The 21,769-nt window shown below is 39.1% G+C and overlaps 1 protein-coding gene across 9 annotated transcripts in view; it reads right to left on the reverse strand.

Annotated features, from left to right (window-relative positions):
* ZNF521 (zinc finger protein 521) overlaps positions 1–21,769 on the reverse strand; it is a 290,243-nt gene that overhangs the window by 15,212 nt on the left and 253,262 nt on the right. For all 9 annotated transcript variants that reach the window (XM_017025697.3, NM_001308225.2, XM_011525909.4 and 6 more), the window contains 2 exons: positions 14,815–14,946; positions 12,330–12,445 (listed from right to left, as the gene is read on the reverse strand). In XM_017025697.3, coding sequence (XP_016881186.1) covers positions 12,330–12,445; positions 14,815–14,946 — 248 coding nt within the window. The remainder of the gene's footprint in view (positions 1–12,329; positions 12,446–14,814; positions 14,947–21,769) is intronic.

The raw sequence follows: 21,769 nt of genomic DNA on the forward strand, positions 1-21,769 counted from the left end.
ATCTCTTAAAAAATGCGGTCATCAGCCCGGGTTAGGAGACAGCTCTGAATACAAGGGTCACATGGCAAGGAAAGCCTACACAGCAAACACTGAAGGGAAGAAAGAACGTGAGCTATGTTATTCAACGTGTATTTACTCACCTCTGTTCTGCCTTCCCGTTCCCCTTATAAATCTGCCCCAAGATACGATGGCATGCTGATTGCTATTTGTGCTCTGCTACAAAGTCCAGGCCAGACTGTCTCCTGTATTCCTTATAAACTTCTCCCAGCTCTTCCCTACAGAGCAAGCACGCCCTTCCTTTTGACAGAGTTCACGTCCTCTCTACCTTTTTATGGGCCACATCCGCGTGCCCCCCACATAGCAGCACAACACAAACATGTGCCTTTCTCCTCTTATGTTTTTTTTAAGAGTAAAAACAGGCTCTGTGTTTTGGTAGGCATCCCTCCAAAGCATAGGTGAACGTCCATGCGTTATGTTTCCGAAAACGACGCCAATGAAAGGGAGGGATGAGAGATGCTAAACAATGCCGCACCAAAGTTGCAGACTGTTCGGCTACAGTCCAGAAAATGAATCCAATTTTTCATTCTGTCATTATAAATATTTCATTGCAAATGGTACTGATTTTCTGCAACTGTGGTTAAGCAGAGGGCCTCTGTGTGAATATTTAAGAAAAAAAAGAGGAAGACAACGAAGAAGAGGGAGGCGGGGAGAATTAAAGGTTAGCAACCAATTAATTTCTCACTTGAAATGTAAAAGATTCTGGGAGAAATTCAACAGTGATGTAGTGTGTGACTCAAAGAAGAAGAAAAAAAAAACATTTACTCTGCTCTTCTTCTGACAGTTTCTCATAAAATATCTGCAGTCCATCTATCTTTTAGTACTCCGGGCTCCTCTGGAGAGCAGAAAATGGTGGTTTAAAGCTCACTTCAGTGCCAGTCTGCGGGAGATGGCTTTCCACAGGGCCCCCGCTGATGGAGGCCTAGGGGAAGAGGCCCAGGAGTTATTCAATCAGCCCGAGACTCTGGGGCGGCTGGGGGTCCTTTGAGGGCTGATTATAAAGCTGCCCTCCTGTTGCCTGCCTCGGAACAGAACGAAATGAGCAGCCTCTTGCTGCGCAGATTCTGAAAGAAGGAATTTCACCTGTCATGGAGTTTGTCAGAATTTCAGGATTTATCTTGGTGCAAAATTAATAAAATACCAACCAGGATTTCAGGCTGACTACTCAGCTGTGTCATCTCAAAGTGATCTTTCACCCAAGAAAACCTGGACAGTGAACACGGCCATTCTTGCCCTACTTTTCCTTTGCAGGATGAACGAGACGATGTGACTAATGCCACCCAAACATCAGAATGAGACCGTGAGCCAATTACACGCGAGGCAGAATTATGCGTGGGTGCTGCTGTCTTAATGCATGACCTCTCACCCCGCCGCTGCAGTTCTAAAGCCCCTTTGGAATAAGTGGAGTCTAAGGCATAAAAAGGCCATTTCTGCAGCTTATAACACAGTAGGTCCCCTATGGCATCACATCTGTTAAATGCATACACTGGTATTTCAGACCCGGATTTGATTTATCTTTTAAAAGGAGTACTAACAATGGAGTATGGCAAGAATATATACTATGAAACGTTGCACATTAATCTTGGGTTGGCTATGAACGAGGTGCAGTTTCATCCTTTGTTTCAGCACACGCCCTCTGCATGTCCCATCACCTTCTGGGCTCCCAGCAGAAAGTGGGAGTGCAGAGGGCGGGGGAGGTGGGAGAGAACACAAAGGGATAGGACAGAGTGGGAACAAACCACCTATTTCTGTGACCCTCTGCCGGCTCTGGGCTGCAACAAGTTTGACCATCTTGGCTTCTTTCACTTTAGACTGTGGCTTGCATCGCACAAATCACCACTGCTCTTTTAAGTGAAGTTCTGTACAACCCAGGGGTTTGATCATTTTGAACTGAGACTTGGGTAGCTCCAAGGCAATTAGTTCTGGTCCTCAGAGTGGGTGGCATCGCATGGCAGATGGCGCCAGTGCGTGGGGTCTGGATTGGCGCTCATGCCACTGGTTGGCCCAGGCCAATGGACAGAGTGGGCAAGCAGTTCTCAGGACCTTGGTCTCACTCAAGTTCGACTTCCAGAACACTGAACTCAGGTTCAGCACAGGGTTGGTTAGTTTGGGTTGTGATGCACACCTTGTTTTGTGTCCCTGGCCTCCATCCACGCTCAGGCCATGGGTCCCTCTTACTCATCGATGATTAGCAGCACAGCCTCGGCTCTCGGAGTCAGCGACGGGTTTAAGGCATTGCTGCTTCTCTAATTTCTAATCGACATTTTCTAAATGAGACATTAAACAATGCTGTAATACATTCTCCCCAGCTCTTCCCCTAGTTAAATGACAATTCTGCTTTGGAGAACCAGTTTTACAATTCAGTAGCAGTCTGACTATACTAACACCAAGAGATCTCAGGAAAAAGTAAGAGAGAGAGAGAGAGAGAGAGAGAGAGTGAAAGAGAGAAGACAGCTAGGAAGTGAGCGCACAGATGGTGGGGGGGACGCAGGGTGCTCTCAGCAGGCTTCAGTGGAGATGCATTAACTCCACAGAGGGATAAGGGCTTCCCACCAGTACTGTCATGAATTATAACTGAGTATGGGAGTGAAGTCTTGGTGCCTGTCTCACAGCAAATATACTGTTCCATTTTCCTGCACAATCACCTTTCACCCTTATAAACTCAAAGCACAGCAAAGCACACTGCTGATATTTAATGGTATCACAGTAGCCTTTTATATGTCTAGAAGGCACACAAGCTTAGCAGATGTGCCCAGTGGTGTAAGACAGACAATTATAAAATTAAGTTTTGGCAATGTGAAAAAGGAAGTCTTTTATGGGCGCTTTGGGTTTCCAGTGAAGGATGGTCTCCTGCCAGCCAGGAGCTGCTATCAAGGCAGGGGCAGGGATCACGCAGGAAAGAAGCTGTCCTCCCAGACATGGAGGGGCCCAAGGAAAAAGCCCCGCTTTTGCAAACTTGGCCCTCCTATGGGAAAGCAGTTCCTGGCCAGTTAGTTTCCACTCACTCATTCAATGAAGTTATCAATGAAGGAGACCTGTTATTTTAGGCAGTTTAAAATTTCACCACTATTAAAGGACTCGTTTACCCTGCCTTTCACTCCCGTTTAAAGCCTCGGAGTTGCTGTTCTAAATGACAGCACCGCAAGCACAGCTTTTAAGCACTATTCATCTCGCCGCCACATCTCAGGCTTTTACAGAACACTACTCTCTCTCTCCAATAAGGGGAACTTACTCCTTCATAGCTGCAGGGCAGAGCCTGTTCCAAGCTGTAGATTCGTTGCAAATATAACAATAAAGGATACAAATGTGAATTCCTCTTAAAATACACGTTTGGCTCTGAAGCTGCCCGGCCTTAGCAAACTCGATCAAGAGCAGCCTATCAATCTTTCTCCAAATGCACAGCAGCAGCTCATTTCACCCGGCTGTCCGAGGGATCGCCACATTGATGGATCAGGAAGACGCTGGAATGGATTCTTTGCTCGTTTCAGGGGATTTATAGTGGAAGCCCATGATTACTATCTTTCTTACCCTAATTGTCACAACAGCTGGATATGGAAGTGGTGTTTTCCAATAGTTAGAGGAAAGTTTGTAAACATAAAGGGTCTATTCTTGCCACTTTGTCTCTGCTAATGTGAGGAAACTGATCCATGTGTGGTGCAAACATCTAAAATAGAAACAGGTGGCAATTCCATGTGCCTCTCTAGATTGCAGAATGTTTTGGAAATTTGGATTTCTGGATTTCTCCAAAGGATCCGACTACAAAGGCGCTGAGACAGAGCTCTGTCTTTACAAGACAGTCACACATGCAGTCTTTCCTTCCTAATGGAGGCAGATCTTCCGGTGCTATGGCAGCAGGCTGTCTTGGCGACATGGAAGATGGCAGGGCCAGCAGAGCCCAGCCAAAGCAGAATGTGGCAGAGGTGATGAACATTTCCAGGGGGTGGGAGGGAGGGGGCTGCAGAACTGGCCACAGTGCTCTTCAGTACACCCTGGCTGGATGCTCCATAAAGCCGCACTGATGGCAGTTCGGAGATGGCCATCTGTCGTCAACTCTGGGCCAGACAAAAAAATAATGTAATGGCAGCTCGCTAACAACAGGGCTGTTGGAGGAGGGAGCGAGTCCTAGAATGAAGAGGTGGTGCTCCCTCTTTTAATAGCGAAAACCAGCCATCAATATGAACATCAAGAAATTAATGGATGGAGAATTTTTAAAAACTGAGCTGGGGTGCTGTAGAAACAATTCAAATGCAAATAAAGTGGTTTCAGCTTATTGCAATTACCTCTGTTGCCCTTACTTCAGTCATATTAACCACTTGATTCTTGAAAATTTGACTACCAGGACACATGGTGAAGCAGGAAGGGCCAAATTTAGAAAAAGGTGAGCCCAGGTTGTGCCTCCAAGCATGCACACACAGATGAGGCATTTATTGTACAAAACAGGTAATTGAAAATGCATTTACTCATTTAGTCCAAATGAGTTCATTGTGATAATCATGCTTATCTTTCTGTATGCTTGCTTAATTTCTAGATGCAATTTTATTAAAAAGCCAAATAAAACTATCTTACCTTTAGACGCATTATGAATGCTATACAACTGCAACCTCCCTCCTTTGCTTAAGAAAAACTCTAGTCTTTTTGCTACTGCATAGATGATGGGGGGTTGGAACGGAGAGAGAATAACAAACTGAGGTTAGCTTAGCCATGTCCTGTTTGTGTCCTATGTGATTAACTTTCTGCCTTCAATGGTAAGGCCAATCAATCCTGATTGAATTATCCAATATTAACAGCTGAAAGTGATCAAAACTAATGGTGAAAACATAGCACCAATCAATAAATCAATGCAAATGATTCGGTTCCTGGAGATCCGATCAAATAAAAGAGATAGATCAATTTAACCACTGAGCAAATTAAGTGGAAGTTGCTGTAGCACCAATTTACTTCCAAAGCCCTGCAGGCCCACAAAGCAAAGAAATGAGGTGATGTATGAAATGGACCAGTTCCAGAACCACGTGCTCATTTGACACAATTTATACTCCTGTGACTTTTGAAGTCTTTGTGATGTGCTTAAGGGCTGCGATTTCAGCCCCAAGAACAAGAGATACACAGGGGCACAGTGGATCTAAGGATGTAAAGAGCAAAGGAATGAGGCCCAGACCATCCAGGAAGGGGTGGGAATTACAATCCCCCACACTGGCTTTCCTCCAAACTGATCAGTATAGGACCCGGATATGCCAGATCTAGATGTGGTGATGGGCAAATATTTCCAACCCAGGGGTCCCAGCAGAAGAACACATGATAAGAGGCAAGACATAACAGGGTTTTGAGTTTTATATTTTGTGTGGGGATAATAAAAGAAATTTTGGCCTGGTGTGATGGCTCACGCCTGTAATCCTAGCACTTTGGGAGGCCAAGGCGGGTGGATTGCCTGAGCTCAGGGGTTTGAGACCAGCCTGGGCAACATGGTGAAACCCCATCTCTACTAAAATACACACACAAAAAATTAGCTGGGTGTGGCAGTGTGAACCTGTAATCCCAGTTACTTGGGAGGCTAAGGCAGGAGAATTGCTTGAACCTAGGAGGCGGAGGTTGCAGTGAGCCAAGATGGTGCCATTGCACTCCAGCCTGGGCGACCGAGCAAGACTCCGTCTCAAAAAAAAAAAAAAAAAAAAAAAAAAAATTAAGCTCTGTAGGAAATAAAAAGTAAGCCCTTGAAAAATATGAAAAAGTGAGAAAACGGGGATGAGGGTTACTTCCTTTGGATGTGCTGTGAATACACACCCTTTCATTCCTCTTGTTTGCAAAAGAGGATTTCAGCCTCGCTTGGAGGAAAATATGAAAAAATAAACTAAAACTTTTTTCCAAACTACACTCAGATTCTACCTTGTCTTTCGTGAAGGGGTAAAATAAAACCGTTTGTCTTAGCCACACCTCCGTAATTGGATGAAAGACAGGGGAGTGTATTAGTTTGGAATACATTTCTGAAAGCAAGTATACATGTTTAGTTTTGTAGTTAGAGGTTAAAAACCAAAACAAAGCCCAAGACTCCTAATCACTTGAAAAAGATAAATGTTTAAAAATAAGAATTTTTACCTGGAAACTGATTAACATGAAACCATGTCCAGATATGACTCATTGCAAAATTATTCTCGTAAGCTAGAACAGAGAACTCAGGAAAGTTCTGATATGTCTGAGGTAGAGATTTTGTTTTCAAATAATGATGAATCTGGATTTTGTTCACTTAGGTCAGCACTAGGAAAGCAGCAAGAAGGTCACAGAGCCAACGTTCTGTGAGTGTCTATTATGTTCTCCGAATTCCATAACCATCCATCCAAACCAGCAGGGGTGCCTCCCACCCAATTCTCCCAGCTGGAGAAGAAACACCTTTTCTGGGAAGATTTATAACAATTGATTACATATCACCTCATATAGTAGCTATTTCTTTGCCTATCTTCTCTTTCCTAGTAGATTGTAAATATATGTCTAATTATTTTAAGTATGTCTTGAAGTGTCTGGCATCATGGTGAATTTAAAAAGATGGAATTATATATTTACATATATATATTTTGTTTGTTTGTTTGTTTGTTTTCTTGAGACAAGGTCTCTCTCTCTCTCTGTCGCCCAGGCTGGAGTGCAGTGGTGCAATCATGGCTCACTGCAGCCTCAACCTCCCCAGGTTCAGGTGATCCTCCCACCTCAGCCTCCTGAGTACCTGGGACCACAGGCACCTCAACCTGGGTAATTTTTTTTTTTTTTTTTTTTTTTTTTTTTTTGGTAGAGATGAGGCTTTCACCATGTTGTCCAGGCTGGTCTCAATCTCTTGGGCTCAAGTGATCCGCCTGCCTCAGCCTCTCAAAGTGTTGGGATTACAGGCATGAGCCACTGTGCCTGGCCTGTAAATATTTTTAATAAGTATATTTTCTTAATAATGGCATGGGGACTATAGCAGTATGTAATATAGCAGTTGTAATTCTGACTATTAACAAGGACTCCTAAAGGCCTCATCACATATTATTTAATAATGTGAGACAGATTTTGTGTTATACTCACTGAGAAGCTGGTTTAGGACCAGTAGCTAAGTTAGCAAGTGACCCAGCAAGCCACTCAATGGTGACAATTTAATGCTGTATTGTTGTCTTATACGTCCCATCCCATAGGCAGTAATTCATTTTTCCTTCAGCAATATGACCATAACACTCAAGCACCAGTTAAACTGTGGTGTGAAAAATATGCATCAAAATCAGGTGATTTGGTGGAAGTGATTTGAGAAGGAAATCAAATAGCTATAGTGACAATTACACATTTAAACCTTAGTGATTTCTGAAAGTCTCGGTATATCCCTCAAATGTCAAATTACTACTGCACTTTGAATGTAGGAAACACTGCACTCATGACTTAATGAAGGGAAGGGCTGGGTATTAAGATAATCTTTGATTCAAAAGGAATTGAAATACTAGAATTTCAGAGCCTAAAGTTCAACTAGACCAATTTCTTCTACCCGTACTGCAGGAATTCCCTCAATCTTCATTAAATTTATAACAAGAGGCCTGACAGAACTTTCTATGTGGACACATTGGGAGAGAGGATGATTTGATCATTGCCATCCAATAGTAGCTTTTCTGGAGGCACCAATTAAACAGCAATTAGTGTACTGAAAGAATGTGGTCTATTCAACAGGATTTTTACAAACACCACTTGCTCACACCTGCATAAACCACTTTGGATACAAATATGCATTGTAGGATATTATTCTTGGACCATACCATCCTCTCTCAAAGCAGCTTCCTTAGGTTCTGCTGAAAAATTTTGAGGTCTATTAGGAAAACATGTGAAACATTGAACACATTCATTCACTTAAAAAATAATAAAATGTTCATTGAGTTGAAATAATGGACTCTTATTCCAAAGCACATCTCCTCTCCTGGCAGCACGCTAGGTGGCCTTTGAAGTGTATTAGAATTTCTTGCAAAAATGGAGGGAAACTCTGCCAAAAGAGAAAGGTTATATCTTGCTACAAATTATATTATATTTTTATGTGTATATATATATATAAGTATAATATGATATAATTTTATATTATACACATTATATAAAATTCCAGTCCAGATATATATCTGTATATGTAGAACATTTGGTCAGCAAGGTTTATGGGTTGTGTGATGAACGTAACTTCTACACTGGCAAAAAGTGTGACTTAGATTAAACGTTTCATAGAAATAAGGGCTTCATCTGGCCTAAATCTTAAAGGACTTGTGGTTTGTGATATTCAAAGGATGGTGCCTGAGTGCTTGATCTCCTAAAGATGAACAATGTATAGTGAAGAATTATCTACATTCTGACTGGCTTTGTAGGCAATGCAAATGAAGGTAACACACCACTATATATATGTGTACATACATAGTGTATGTACACACATAGTATATATACATGCATGTATACATACTTATACATCCCCATATATATATGTGTGTGTGTGTGTGTGTGTGTGTGTGTGTATACATATATGGTGGCAAGTAATTTTCGTTAACATTCCCTCATATATATATATGCGCATATATACGCATATATATAAATTCTATACCTAACAAAGCACTTCTATCCACAAAAAAATGCTTCATATTTTCAACTGGGCATAAACCAAAAGAAATGTAAATTATGTATTATGGTCATAAAATCATTCATGTACATTTAAAAGATATCCATAGTGATGTTGATGGTCAATTCCAGAATGCTTATCCTAAACTTAACCTATTATTCTCACCTTGATAGAAAAGCCAAATAAATTGTATACTTTAAAATCTCTAATAGGATTGCAGTTCTTAGACATTTAGTTTTATAGTCTCTTGTGAAAAGTCCTTATTTCTGAACTTTGGTGGCATAAAAAAGTAGATGAGTTCAAGTGGTTTAAAATTTACATTTATTTTGCACACCAAGGCATGAACTACAGTGGCTGATAAAATGGCTTCATTTTTCTACTCTGTGGTTATTTTGGTTATAGATCCTATTTTCTATTGTCACCTGAATTTTAGAAAATTTTTTTTCACTTGTCCTAGGAAAATAACAAAACTGTTTCATGGTTTTTGTACACTTACCATCCCATTTTCTATACAGCAAATAAAATAAATCAATATTTTAAAATTACATTAATTCCATCCTCTAAGCACTGGTATAAATGCAATTTGGGTAATGAAAGCAAATGCAAAGGACCATGAATGCCAAAAGTTAAAATATAAAAATAAAAACACTTTCAAAACTAGAAAAAGTCAAGTTAACTCTGATCCATTTTTCTTAATGTGTTGAAACTAAAGCCACTGACATTATTGAGGATTTCAGAAACTAGACCCACATAGAGATTCCAATAACTATGAATTATAGTTTTGCGAAATATTGACTGTGTAGTCAATATCTCATCTCAGATTCATAATAATTATCACATACTCACCATAAATACTGTTCTTATCTAAGGAATGATTCACATATTAAACCTGAGTATTCGCATCAAGAGCAAATATATATAATTTAGAGTTGTGGGATTGGAAATATAAGGCTCATAGTTTTGGATTACAGAGTAAGTCTCTGTTTGGCCCAGATCACAATTTGTATGAGCGAGTCAGAAATGTTTTGGTAGATGTTTGACTAAAAAGGTCACAAAAACTCAAAAAGAGTTGTGTGTTCTGCACTAAAATTTCTATGCCTGTGGTTCTCAAAGGGTGGCCCAGGGACTTCTGTGGTCTCCTAAACACTTATGAGAGGTCTGTAAGGTCAAACTATTTTCACAATAATATTAGACATTATTTGCCCTTTATACTCTCATTATCTCAAGAGGGTACAGTGAAGTTTTCTAGACGCTACCTGATATGTGATGACATCATCTCTCTGACAGCTAATAGAATATGTGCTTGTATTCTTGTATTTAATAGATTTCTCAGTTTTGATTTTTAAGATGGAAAATGATAGTAACTCACATAAACCAAAGCCTTTTGTGGTCCTCAATAATTTCTAAGAATGTAAAGGCATCCTGAGATCAAGGAGTCTGTGATTGGTCTATACTAATCGTAGAAAAGAGTGAATACTATATGTTCCACATAGAATAAAACCTGAAAATACATCATCATAAAGGAAACCTGGAATCTTGAAGGATGTGATTAATTGCTTAATTTTGTCTGCTCTACAATGGGTCAGAGGCCACCGCTGCCACAGTGCTGAGTTCTTTTAATGAAAGACATTGATGGTACCACCAGGTAAGAATCTACTAATACAGTACAAAAGTGGAAGTTTGTTGCAAACATTTTTGTTTTCAAGAACACTAGGTAGGAATCAGTCTCTAAAGAAACTCTACAGCTTTGATTTTAAACGATTACTTAATTCTGCCTCACAGTTTACATACTAATTAACAGTATCACTAGGTGTTTTGGCCATATCCTTTATAGATTCACAAAATCAAAATGACTTATGCTTTGATACCTATGCAATAAAAATGTAGTATTTTTTTCAAACAGAAATTTAGATTATTTTAATAAGATGTATTTTTAAACAATAGTCTAACTTGGCCCATCTTCTATATTCAATTCATGAACACATGTGACAGAATAGCATTTTTAGAAGCGATACAAGGTAAGATAGTAACTTTAATTTGGATCCACTGACACGTTATGACAACTAAATGGGCTCAAGCATTCTTTCTTATATTTTGTATTTCATCTCCTTAACTTACTATTTGTTCACTTTTAGAATGATAACTGAGAAGATAAACTGCAAATTCCTTATTTTGACACATAACTCACATAAATCTCGTTTCATCAGGGCCCAAGGAAGCACGAAGTTGCCCCAGGACCCAATGTGGGATGGAAGACTGAGGAGTGGGTGGGCTCCCAGTCCCTCAGTCTTGCCTCTCCCAAGTCAACCAGATCAGCTCTTTCATTTGGTTCAGGGATTCACTGTGAAAATTAACTGCAACCCTCATTTTAGGCTAAATACCTGTGTTGTTAATAATAATACTCATAATAACAGAATAATTTTCTTTTCTTTTCTTTTTTTTTTTTTTGAGACAGAGTCTCGCTCTGTTGCCCAGGCTGGAGTGCAGTGGTGTGATCTCGGCTCACCGCAAGCTCCGCCTCCCGGGTTCATGCCATTCTCCTGCCTCAGCCTCTCAAGTAGCTGGGACTACAGCCGCCCGCCACTGTGCCTGGCTAATTTTTTTTTTGTATTTTTAGTAGAGATGGGGTTTCACCGTGTTAGCCAGGATGGTATCGATCTCCTGACCTCGTGATCCTCCCACCTCGGCCTCCCAAAGTGCTGGGATTACAGGTGTGAGCCACCGTGCCCGGCCAACAGAATAATTTTCAGTTCGACTCTATTCTCCTCCACGGGAACCAATAAGATTGAACAAAAAGCATGTTACTCTCAGATCATTTCATCAGAAAAATAAGGATAAGACATTATACCCATTTTCAAGGTGAAGTAACATTAAAAAATAAATTATTTTCCTTTATAATACATGATACTTCTGGAATAGAATCTAGGTCTCTGACTCATTTTTTTTAAACTACCAGTCTATAGCTAAGAAAAATAAGAATAACCAAATCTTCCTATGTTTATATCTTATATCCATACCCATCATTTCATTTTCACTGTATAACAGCCCTATAAGTGTGATGTTTGTTTATTTCTTCATATCTGAGGTTCAGAGGACTTACAGTCCAAGGTTACTCACACATTAATCAAGTGGACCACTCAAGGCTAGATTCAATGTCTTTGGGTGCAAAATTTTCAACTATAAGGCTTTGGTTAAGTAACAGTTATTCTATTCCATTAAATGGAAGATATACATACTGGACAAGAGTACGATTTCTTTCTTTTCTTCCCCTCTCCCTTCCAATTTTAAGCCCCTCAGGACAACAATAACCTGGACATCCACCCAGCTTGGAGCCCAGTGGGAACAGAACATGAATAAAACAGGATTTGGGAGAATGAGTCATGACAAGCAAGGTGAATGATCCCACAGTCCAATAAACCTGACCTCTAAGTCTATCACACTGGGTCAGAAGGTCCAATTATAGGTCTGTTCTAGTTCTTTTTATGATTGACAGCAGCCAGAGGCAAAATTACTTTGGTGTCTATTAATCCAGGCTCTAATTTTCCCTTTGCCCCCAATACACACAAAGCATCATGGTGGCCCAGGGTGAGTGATACTGTGAATCCAGATTTAAAATGCCCCTGTTTACTATAAGAATAGCAACTGAGTTCAATCCCAGTCCTCCCCATGAGGACATTACCTGCAGCTCTGTTTGGAAGAAAAACTTCTGTGGACATTGTGTACAGTCATAGATCTTGTCTTCTTGTCCATGGGCAGAGAAAATATGCTGCTGCAACTTGTTTGCTTGAACAAATACTGAAATGATAAAAGAATGATGAACTTGGGTTATTTTGTTTCCGAAATGCCCTCAGTCGATGACTCTGCATGAACAGACAGCAGGCCGGACAGCACGCCTCCCAGGTGTGACTTACTGCCTGAGACCTGGGGAGAGCTGAGTCACATTTGCTCATGGTTGGGTCTCTGGCTTTTGTTAAGATGCACTCTACGGAGCACCTAATTCAACCCAAACAGCTCCAAAGTAAAGGTTTATGGAGGCCCTGCTCCCTATAAATCTTTAAAAAATAAAGCCGAAAACTGTCAAATGCATAGCTCTGTCTCAACAGAAATGACTCCTATTTCTCAGCAACCCACAGGTTAAGAAATCATAGATGCCAAAACCCTGTTTATTGTGTTTGCCTAAAGTTATAGCTAGCAAACAGTTCTCTATTTAAATGTGTTAATGCTAAAAATCATATCCCACAGCTACTCTGGGGCACTGTCTATAAATGTGAAACAGAACGGCAGGTAAATTCTCTTTGGATACTTTAAGATCAACTCAGCCTACACACTGAATGCAAGGGTTTCAATAATATAAACATGTTCAATTTTAATGACTACAAAACAAGGCCCTAAGACTGTGTAACAGTTTACCTAGGAGACACGCTATTAATAATTAAATTGTATATGCCAGAGGCAGTGTTTGGGTTGGCAGAACTGACTTCTGATGGATGCCTGGTGCACTGTGACCTAAAAAAGTTTGCATCTACAATATTAATCTGTATAGGCAGGGAAAGGATTTATTAAAGATGTTGGCATTTGACTTTGACTCCACTCTAATCATTAAAATTATTCTAATTGCCAGCCAACCTAAAATATTAGAATATTGTTCTTGTGAGTCATACATTTTAATCACATTTCTCATTACCTTAAAAAACTGCTCAGATTTCCTTTCCCACCTAACACACTTTATATTGGAAGCATTTTTTAAAAATTGTTATTTCTAAATTACTTCAAGATACGCTAAAACAATTCACGTCTGTCTGCACAGAAAATGCAGACTGTGCACGATTAATGCATTTTTGTCTCTTTATCCGTATCAACAAGAAGAAATGAGGTTTTTACATAGATTTGCAGCTAATCTGCATATAACTCAGTACATTTTATGAGGCTTCTGGCTACAACATGAAAGACCTATTTTATTAGGGGTCTTAATCGTGAGGTGACCTATGACCCAGTCCTCCTTTATGAAGACTTATGAGCTTTTATAAAGAACCTAGACTCTTGACTCGTTGTATGTTAGGATATATACTACTGATGGTAAACCATAGCAGTATATATTTTTAAGTATAAACCTGGAAGAATAAAAAGAGTTCCAAAAGAAGGATGGAGAGTGGCTGATGGAATTATTGAATGAAGGAGCCAAACAGGCAACTGTTGAAGGCAGAGCCATCAACGTACTCAGTTAGTAATTGTGCTAGCTGTGCAATGAACATGGCCCCTCTTTATCACAGAATAGAAATCTATAGGCTCAGTTCAGTGAAGGTAAATAATCAATGCTTGGAATTTTGCTCTGCAAACAAAGAAGTCATCCTTGAGAGAAGGATATATTCTCCCTCCTCCAACAAATAAAAAGGCATTGCTTGAGGGGCTTAACCACTGAGTCCAAAACACATGCAAAATAATCACAAAGGATTTTCCAAAATAACTTTGTCATTGTTAGGGGAATACCACAAATATGTGTGATCATATTTCAACCTCCATGGGCTTCAAATGAGAGTTTCAGATTTACTTTTTTTTTTCTGCTAAAATCTGTAATGCTATCGTATCTGTTAAAAAATTTCTTCTTAAAAGTATAAGTGTAGATCAACTTCTACTCTAAAAATCCAATTTCATAGGCAGTAAATGCCTCATCTAATCTGTTTTCCATGTCAGAGAATTTGGGGTGAGTTTTAATACTATCTTTGTATTTCTGGTGGAGAATGTTATGAAATTCTCCATGTTTAAGTAGCAGACATGCGCTGACAACACGGCTGCACTTTTAGTTGAACATCTTGTGATTAAAAAGCAGCTCTGTGCAGGCAGCCTTACCCTTGGTAACCTTTAACATCGAGAGAAAAAAAAAAGTGAACACAACATGTATGTAGTTTTCCAAATGGAAAAGTGCAAACTTCTGAGAGAACTTGAAATGCCTTTGTTCATCCTGACAGTTAACCTTCCTGCTCATGTGAGCCTTTAAGTAGGCTGCAATCAATAATGCTAATAAAGCAGAAATCAAACATCTTCCCCCCAAATTGAACTGAAGTCATGTCTGTAAAAGGCCATAGCAGTGGGAAGTAATGCTTTGGTAGGAAAGACATGATGTGGCCATCAGCCTCTCCTGTGTCTTCCTGAAATAATCTTCCCACCTGTAAAGCAGACTGGACACTTGAAGGTGCCTCCCATCCCTTCGAAGCTGTGCTCTATCAGGTGGCACTGGAGTTTGGCAGGAGAGTCAAAGGTCTGGCTGCAGAGTTTGCATTCATGGTTCAGTCCTTCATCTGTCAAGGAAAACACATGAAGAGAAATGATGAAAACCTGTCATATCTTTAATACACTAGAGAGTTATCTTTAATTGCATATATTAAACTATTTCCATCACCTAATATACATATGTAGTATTATATATGGTTTCTGGTTATTTCACATTATTCATGAGTTTATATCAATTTAAAACAGTTCTGGAATTTAAAATCCAAAGATAATCAGAAGTCAGATTTTATCTTAAGGCTAATGCATTTTATTACACTTTTAAAATATAATTGGTGTATCAATAATGAGGCATTTCCTTTTCTCTCATTACCATGATTTTCTGGGGTCTGTATTTCCAAAGCCCTAAAATAAAAAAGTGTGGACAGCTTCTTCCTCAGTGATTCTACTCTGGCTTATCCAGAGGGTCCTGGAAGTGTCTATTTCTAACCATAGGTCTTCAGTGGTATTCAGTTGATACAGACTATCTTTTTCTATTTCCAAGAATTTCTGGCAATTTTGAAGTATCATTAATAGGACAGTCTCTTACAAATGCCCTTTTCTCTGCTTCGCACCTCCAGTCTCCCATATTCTTCCTAGTTCATCTCTCCCTTAACTCTGGAAGACAGTTTCAATTTTACCCCCAGAACCAGACTCTGCTTCTGTTTCTCCAAAGCACTTTTGTGACCTCCAGGCTCACTTGACTAGCCCTGAATTTTTCTTGGATATCTTAAGAATGAGGGGGCAGAAAAATATTTTGATGTCATAACATTGCTATATAAAGTGGAGAGTTTGTGTTATACATAGACACTGTTATTTTAAACATTTATGGATTTTAAACATTTAAAATTAAAATTTAAAATTGAAGTTTAAAATGTAAGGATTATCCTAACTTATTTCATTGTGCAATTGTAAGGTATAAAAAACCAGGGGCACTAGAGCTAGCAGCCTAGCTGACACTGATTTAGTGTTTGCTGTGTTTCAGAACTGCTCAGAGACACAAATTCATTTAATTGCACTAAAACCCTATGAGAAAAACTACTATTAGTCTCATTTTACAGATGAGAAAAATGAGGCGCAGAGAGTTTAAGTAACTTTGCTCTGAGTCACAAGCACTCATAATTGGAAGAGCCAGAACTTGAACGCAGGCAGTCTAGATTCAAACCTGGGCACTCTGGCCTCAGGGGACATATCTTAATAGATATGGTGGAGCACACACCCACTACTTCCAAGACTACTTACTAAAGGGTAGAGGCTGCACTTTAACCTGGCTTGTTATCACATTACACTTTTATATTCTCCTATTAGCAATGATTAAAAAATGCTACTAAGACATTCTAGGTCTAGGGAATGAAAGACACCGTCACACTACAAGGGTAACAAGTCTACACTGCAGTTATTTTCTTTCATTCAAAGACAACATGCATGTGTAAGTCCTCTGCCAGCTGATATTACTGGTAATACCACGTCCCAATTACAAAGTGAGTAATTATTAGCTAACTGTGAGTAAAATCACTCTATTTGTATTCCTAATCTTTCTTCCCATACAAGTATGAGTCTTTAGAAGCAGAGGATTGGAATTTGTAAAAAGAGAAGCAAAGCACTAATTAAGCCACCCAGTACTGTCTACATTTCACAAGAGATAAAAACCTACTCTGTATCTGGGTGGCACAGTAAATTCCTTGATTATAATTATGTAAGAGGGAGTTTAATTGTGCATACTGACATGACAAGGGGTTATACAAAAAGCTTTAGGGATTATATAAGATCAAGGGTTTTTTCATCTGTTTCCTTTTTTTAAAATCCTGAAGTCACCAAAAAATTTCCAGATTTTAGACATTAAGAAATATAAAAAACACTATTTATTGTAAGAAATTGGATTGGCAAGTGCATCTTCAGAAAAATACTTGCTAACTTTAAAAGTTCTCTATTTCCTTAATGCTACATACCTTTATTTTGAATAGTAAGAAGGTTACTACGGGTTTTCATCTCCTTTTAAAATTATGTGTGCTTTGCACAAGAACCAAGAGATGGCCTATGGATATGAACTGATATACACTTGTTCCAGAATTTTAAAACTTGCAATAGGTGTGATGTAATAGATCTGGCAGGTTTTCCTGGGGATAACAATTGACTGTCACATGAGCATAAAGTGAATTATGCACATTAGGATGTTCTGTAATGTAATATTATCTTTCTTGACTATGAGTATTTTGTTTGGAAAAATAAGAGAAGGAAAAATAAATAAGACATATGTGTATGAGTGCAGGGAAAATGTACTCATTCATTTTTATGTATTTCTTACCCAAAGAAAAGAGAAGTTGCATCCCAAAATGTTAAATAATCCAAATTCAGTCAAGTGAATTCATAAAAAGGTGACACACAGGCATAAAGGTATTTATGCATTATTAGGGAAGACTTATTTTCTACATATTCTATCTTTTATTTGTGAAAGCGCTAAGTGACAGCAATGATAACAATCACATCTACCATTTTCAGAACTCTTTTTACAGCTTAAAAGCACGTTATAATGTTAAAAAAAAAGTTGGAAGTTCTACCTGCCTTTTATTTTTAAGTTACACTGTGAGGTCTTTCCTAGTTACTGATCTCCTAGTTATTTCCATAGGAGAGAAAATATATATGAATTGTTACACAGCACATTATAAGATGAGCAAAAGCCAATAAGCTCTTAGGTGGACATTTAGAGTCCCTCCTTTTCTCTCACCTTTGTTCATTTCCCTACTCCCTTCCCCCATCTTCACACTTGCTTATTACCTCAAGGTCAAATGTATAATGAGAAAGAGAGATAGTAACACAAAACATTCTAACAACTGGTTAATATAATTCATTTTGTATTTTTTTTTAATTGAGGGCAGCACAGGTAGTAAAAGAAAATGAAACTTATTTATAGTAAGAATTTCAAAAGTTTATCCTTATTCAGAGTCTTTAACTCTTCTCTTCTAATTCCATATTTACCTTTGTATGGCTGAGAGCCATGTCTGACTTTTCAAAGAATTCTTGAAAACCCTTAGAATTGGGTGGGGGGGATCTGGCTGAGTTAAACCCCATCTCTTTTCAAAACTCTCCTTTCTTTCCCCTATCTGGTATAAGGTAGTAAAGAACAGTAAATGTAACTGCTGTTTTATTTTTAAAGCCAATGTTCTTGATGGGATACTATCAGCACCTCTATTCAGGATTTTGCCCACAAAGCATAACCTGAATTGTGTCTTTCCTCCTCCTCTTCCTAAAGGTGCCAAAAAGCTTAAAAAATTCAATCAAAATAACCAATTCTGCTCTCTGGAAAGGTAGCAGCTGACAGTAATTGGATAATACAGCCTGACTCATTTATTAAAAAGAGATTCAGAGTCAATTGATTTAATAACCATTACAATATTCCATTAAGGATATAATAGGCTAGTACAGCCCTATTTTTTAATTAAGAATTATAGATGGGATCTTCGAACGAAACTTCTAGATTTTTCTTCTCCTTTTTGCTTATCTATATTCTCCAGATTTTCTACAATGAGCACAATTTGCCTTGTAGGGTACTTTGAAATTGAAAGAGAGAGGGAAAAACCTACCTTTTCTAAACCCTATTAATGAAGACTGATTACAACACTGAAATTTTGCTAGCTAAAAAATTAGATAGGAAATGAGCAATATTATGAAGTCTAGAAAAACTCTAGTTTTGCCCAATTAAACTTAAAAGTATTCTAGCCACGTATGTACAAAAACAAAAATTAGCACAAGGAAAGGGAGAAAGAACTATCAGAATGCAATTTAGCTATATGAGCAAACATGGAGCTTTCTGTATGAGCCTGTATCTTTCCAGAACACACAGAATACCCCTCTCTGTTGGATACTGAGGGAGGTATATGTGCCTAGCAATGGGGGTCCAGTGTCAGAGTGGGGCCTTTACCATTGAGACCATGCTGGAAGCCAGCAACTTCCTGTCTTGGTCACCCACTGGAAAGGCATGACCAAAGCTGCTTTGAGTATAATTAAGAAATCATTTCACATGTATAGAAATTTCATCTAAAATAATTATTTCCATTTGTTAATCTTCATTTAACTGTGAACATAAATGTAAACAGGAATCAAGTCTACATAAAAGAGACTGATGCTAATGTAAATATTTACTCCAATATTAAATGTTTCAAAGGAAAGCGTCTGCATACATAATTGGACTACAACCTCACTGACTTAGTAGGAAACGTGCTAATCACTTACAAAATTTTGTGCTCTAAGAAAACCATCTGCTTGTCTAAAGCCAGTTCAAAGATGAATGACAACTTCTATACCTCCAATTTATAAAACCTGGACCTACATAACTATTTATTAGCCTGTTTTATAACAGGAGAAATATTAGTTACCATTTGGATGCTCAAGCACAGGTTTAAATTATGAGCTCCAAGGTGGCAATTGGTAGTTTAACACAAGACACTGACATTTCAATATAAGCTTTAAACAAGAGAAACCCTTTAAGCAGCCTCCAGACTGTGTGTCCCATGTTTATACTCCTTTTCCTTCAATAAAAACAAAAATCTAGAGTGGCTACAAGCAAATGTTCAGTGGCTGACTTACATGCTGCTGTTATCCCAGGAATCACTGGGGGCCCCCTTATATCGTCTGATCAACGCTACAGCCATTACTGAGGGCCAATTTGTAACAGTTTATAAGTAGAACTCCTTCTCCCTTTTACCCTCAAGACTGGCCAGAAGGGTCCTCCAGCCTCTTCCACTGCATAAATCTATAGGCTAAAGTCCACAGATAGAAACCCCTCCTGCTATATCACCATGTGGCCGGGGCCATACTTAAAAGCTCTGATCTGAGTGGGAGTAAACTCTGCCCTCAGAATCCAAACAGAGGAATCAAATGCCCTACAGTTGTAACTTATCCAGTTCGAATGTGTGTTACCACTGTATCCTCATATATATTTTTAAATCTAAGAAAACTATGCCCTAACCCAATTCCCAACCTCCCACCCTTTACTTTGCTTCTCCTCTTCCTTGAGTTAATTTCCAAGCACACATTTATAAGCTAGGGGTCCGAGGAGTAACAAAGAAAAGCCATACATGACAAAACTCACCCCTCGGCTACATTGGCTCGCCCTAGAAACCAGGAGTAGAAAAATAGGCAGACTGCAGTATAATTTGCCATGCACACAGCCATCACATTCTTTCCAGGGCCATAGCACTCAGCCACGATAATTTGTTGTATTATATACAGCACATGTTTCATGACTGTAACATAAACACACTGTGGTGCTAATTTGGCAATGGAGAATATGACTTAGGCTTCAAAGTCTGCCGGTAGATTAGTCATTAAGCCCCCAAAGTAAGGCAGAATTTGAGAGAATTGCATATTGTGGGAACGTTTTTTCTCATACCAGTTAAAAAGTTCTGCCCTTATTTTTTTTGAACGAGTTGCCATGAAAATGAATGCAGCCTGAAGACCGACGCTAGCACCTTCTAGGAGTTTTGTCACTGGCAATATGGGAGTGTCTGGCACTGTCAGTATTTCTACGCCACATGAGAGAGGAACAGAAGACACAGGCATGAGACTCTTACAATAAGAGGAAAAGGACACTGGGACATGAGGAAATGAGCTCCAGGTTCCTGGACCCTGACTGTGTGCACAAAGTGCCTAACCCTTAGGTATCTCAAGAGCCGCAGGATACACATCCTGTGTGCCTCAGTCAGAATCTCACTTCCAGGAGATCTACAGGTGCAAGCTTACCTTAACTTAGTTACTGGCTGTTTTTAGCCAATGGTCTAAAGGCTACAATGCTTTTGGACTTTATAAGCAAAGCCACTGATATTGCCACTGTTATTTCCTGCCTTGAACTTCTCATTATCAGCAGGGCTGGAGCAGGAAATGATTCAACTGGGGTAGGCTGCATGGTACCCAGCAGATTTTAAAGAGCCCGGGGGCTGCCTAGAGCCCCATAAACATCAGCAGCTTGGAAACTAGCAGGAGGTCCAGGTGGGTAGGGAGAGGAGAGGCAGGCAGTGGGATTTTAGATGCTCTGAGATGCAATATCGTCCAATTCCTTGGCTATTATTATAGGTTGTGTGAAGTACTTATTAGAATATTCTCATGTAGGAGAAAACATTGGAATGTTGTTCAAACAATAAACAGTAAAACAAACAGCCCACCAAAAAGGTGGCTTTCCTTCAACTGAGGGGACTCAGCAGTGGTATTTTGGCACAAGTAGGGAATGGGGATAAGCACACAGACTACAATGTTTTTCAAACCTGGCCAGTACATTAGCTCCTCTAGTTCCTTCTTTTCTTCTTCACATTCTGAATCTAAACATGGACCCCATGGTTGAAGTCTCAGAGAAAACATGGTGCCTACAAATAGCTTTAAAGGTAAAACTTTGCCCTCATTTTTTTTTTATTAAAAAAAAACTGCAAACACCAGTTTTGGAAGGGCACTGATAAAATCACTTTGATTCTTCCTCTCCCCATCCCAAGAAAAAAATTGTTAGCCAAGAAAAGAAGAAAGTAGTGGATATTTCTTAGCAAATATTCTGGAAAAGGCAAGGGCAGGGATAAGGACGGGAGTGAGGACTGAGACCAACTAAGTCTGATGTATGTCCTCCAGGTTTGATTAGATATTGGAGTTGCTTTTAAACAACTTGGATGTTGTTAACACAGTGCCACTGTGTTGCACTGAAAAGGATCCAGTTTACTTGAACAGTCAATTCTCCCCCTCATTTATACCCACTTGAATACAGGAGAGTACATTTTTTCTTTCAAAAAATTTTTGTCACCTAATCTTTAGTGCTGTTCTGTTCTCTGACTTGAAAGAAAGTTTGTGAGCACGCAAATACAAGTATAAAACATTTGT

This window comes from Homo sapiens, chromosome 18, assembly GCF_000001405.40.
Source record: "Homo sapiens chromosome 18, GRCh38.p14 Primary Assembly".
NCBI lineage: Eukaryota > Metazoa > Chordata > Mammalia > Primates > Hominidae > Homo > Homo sapiens.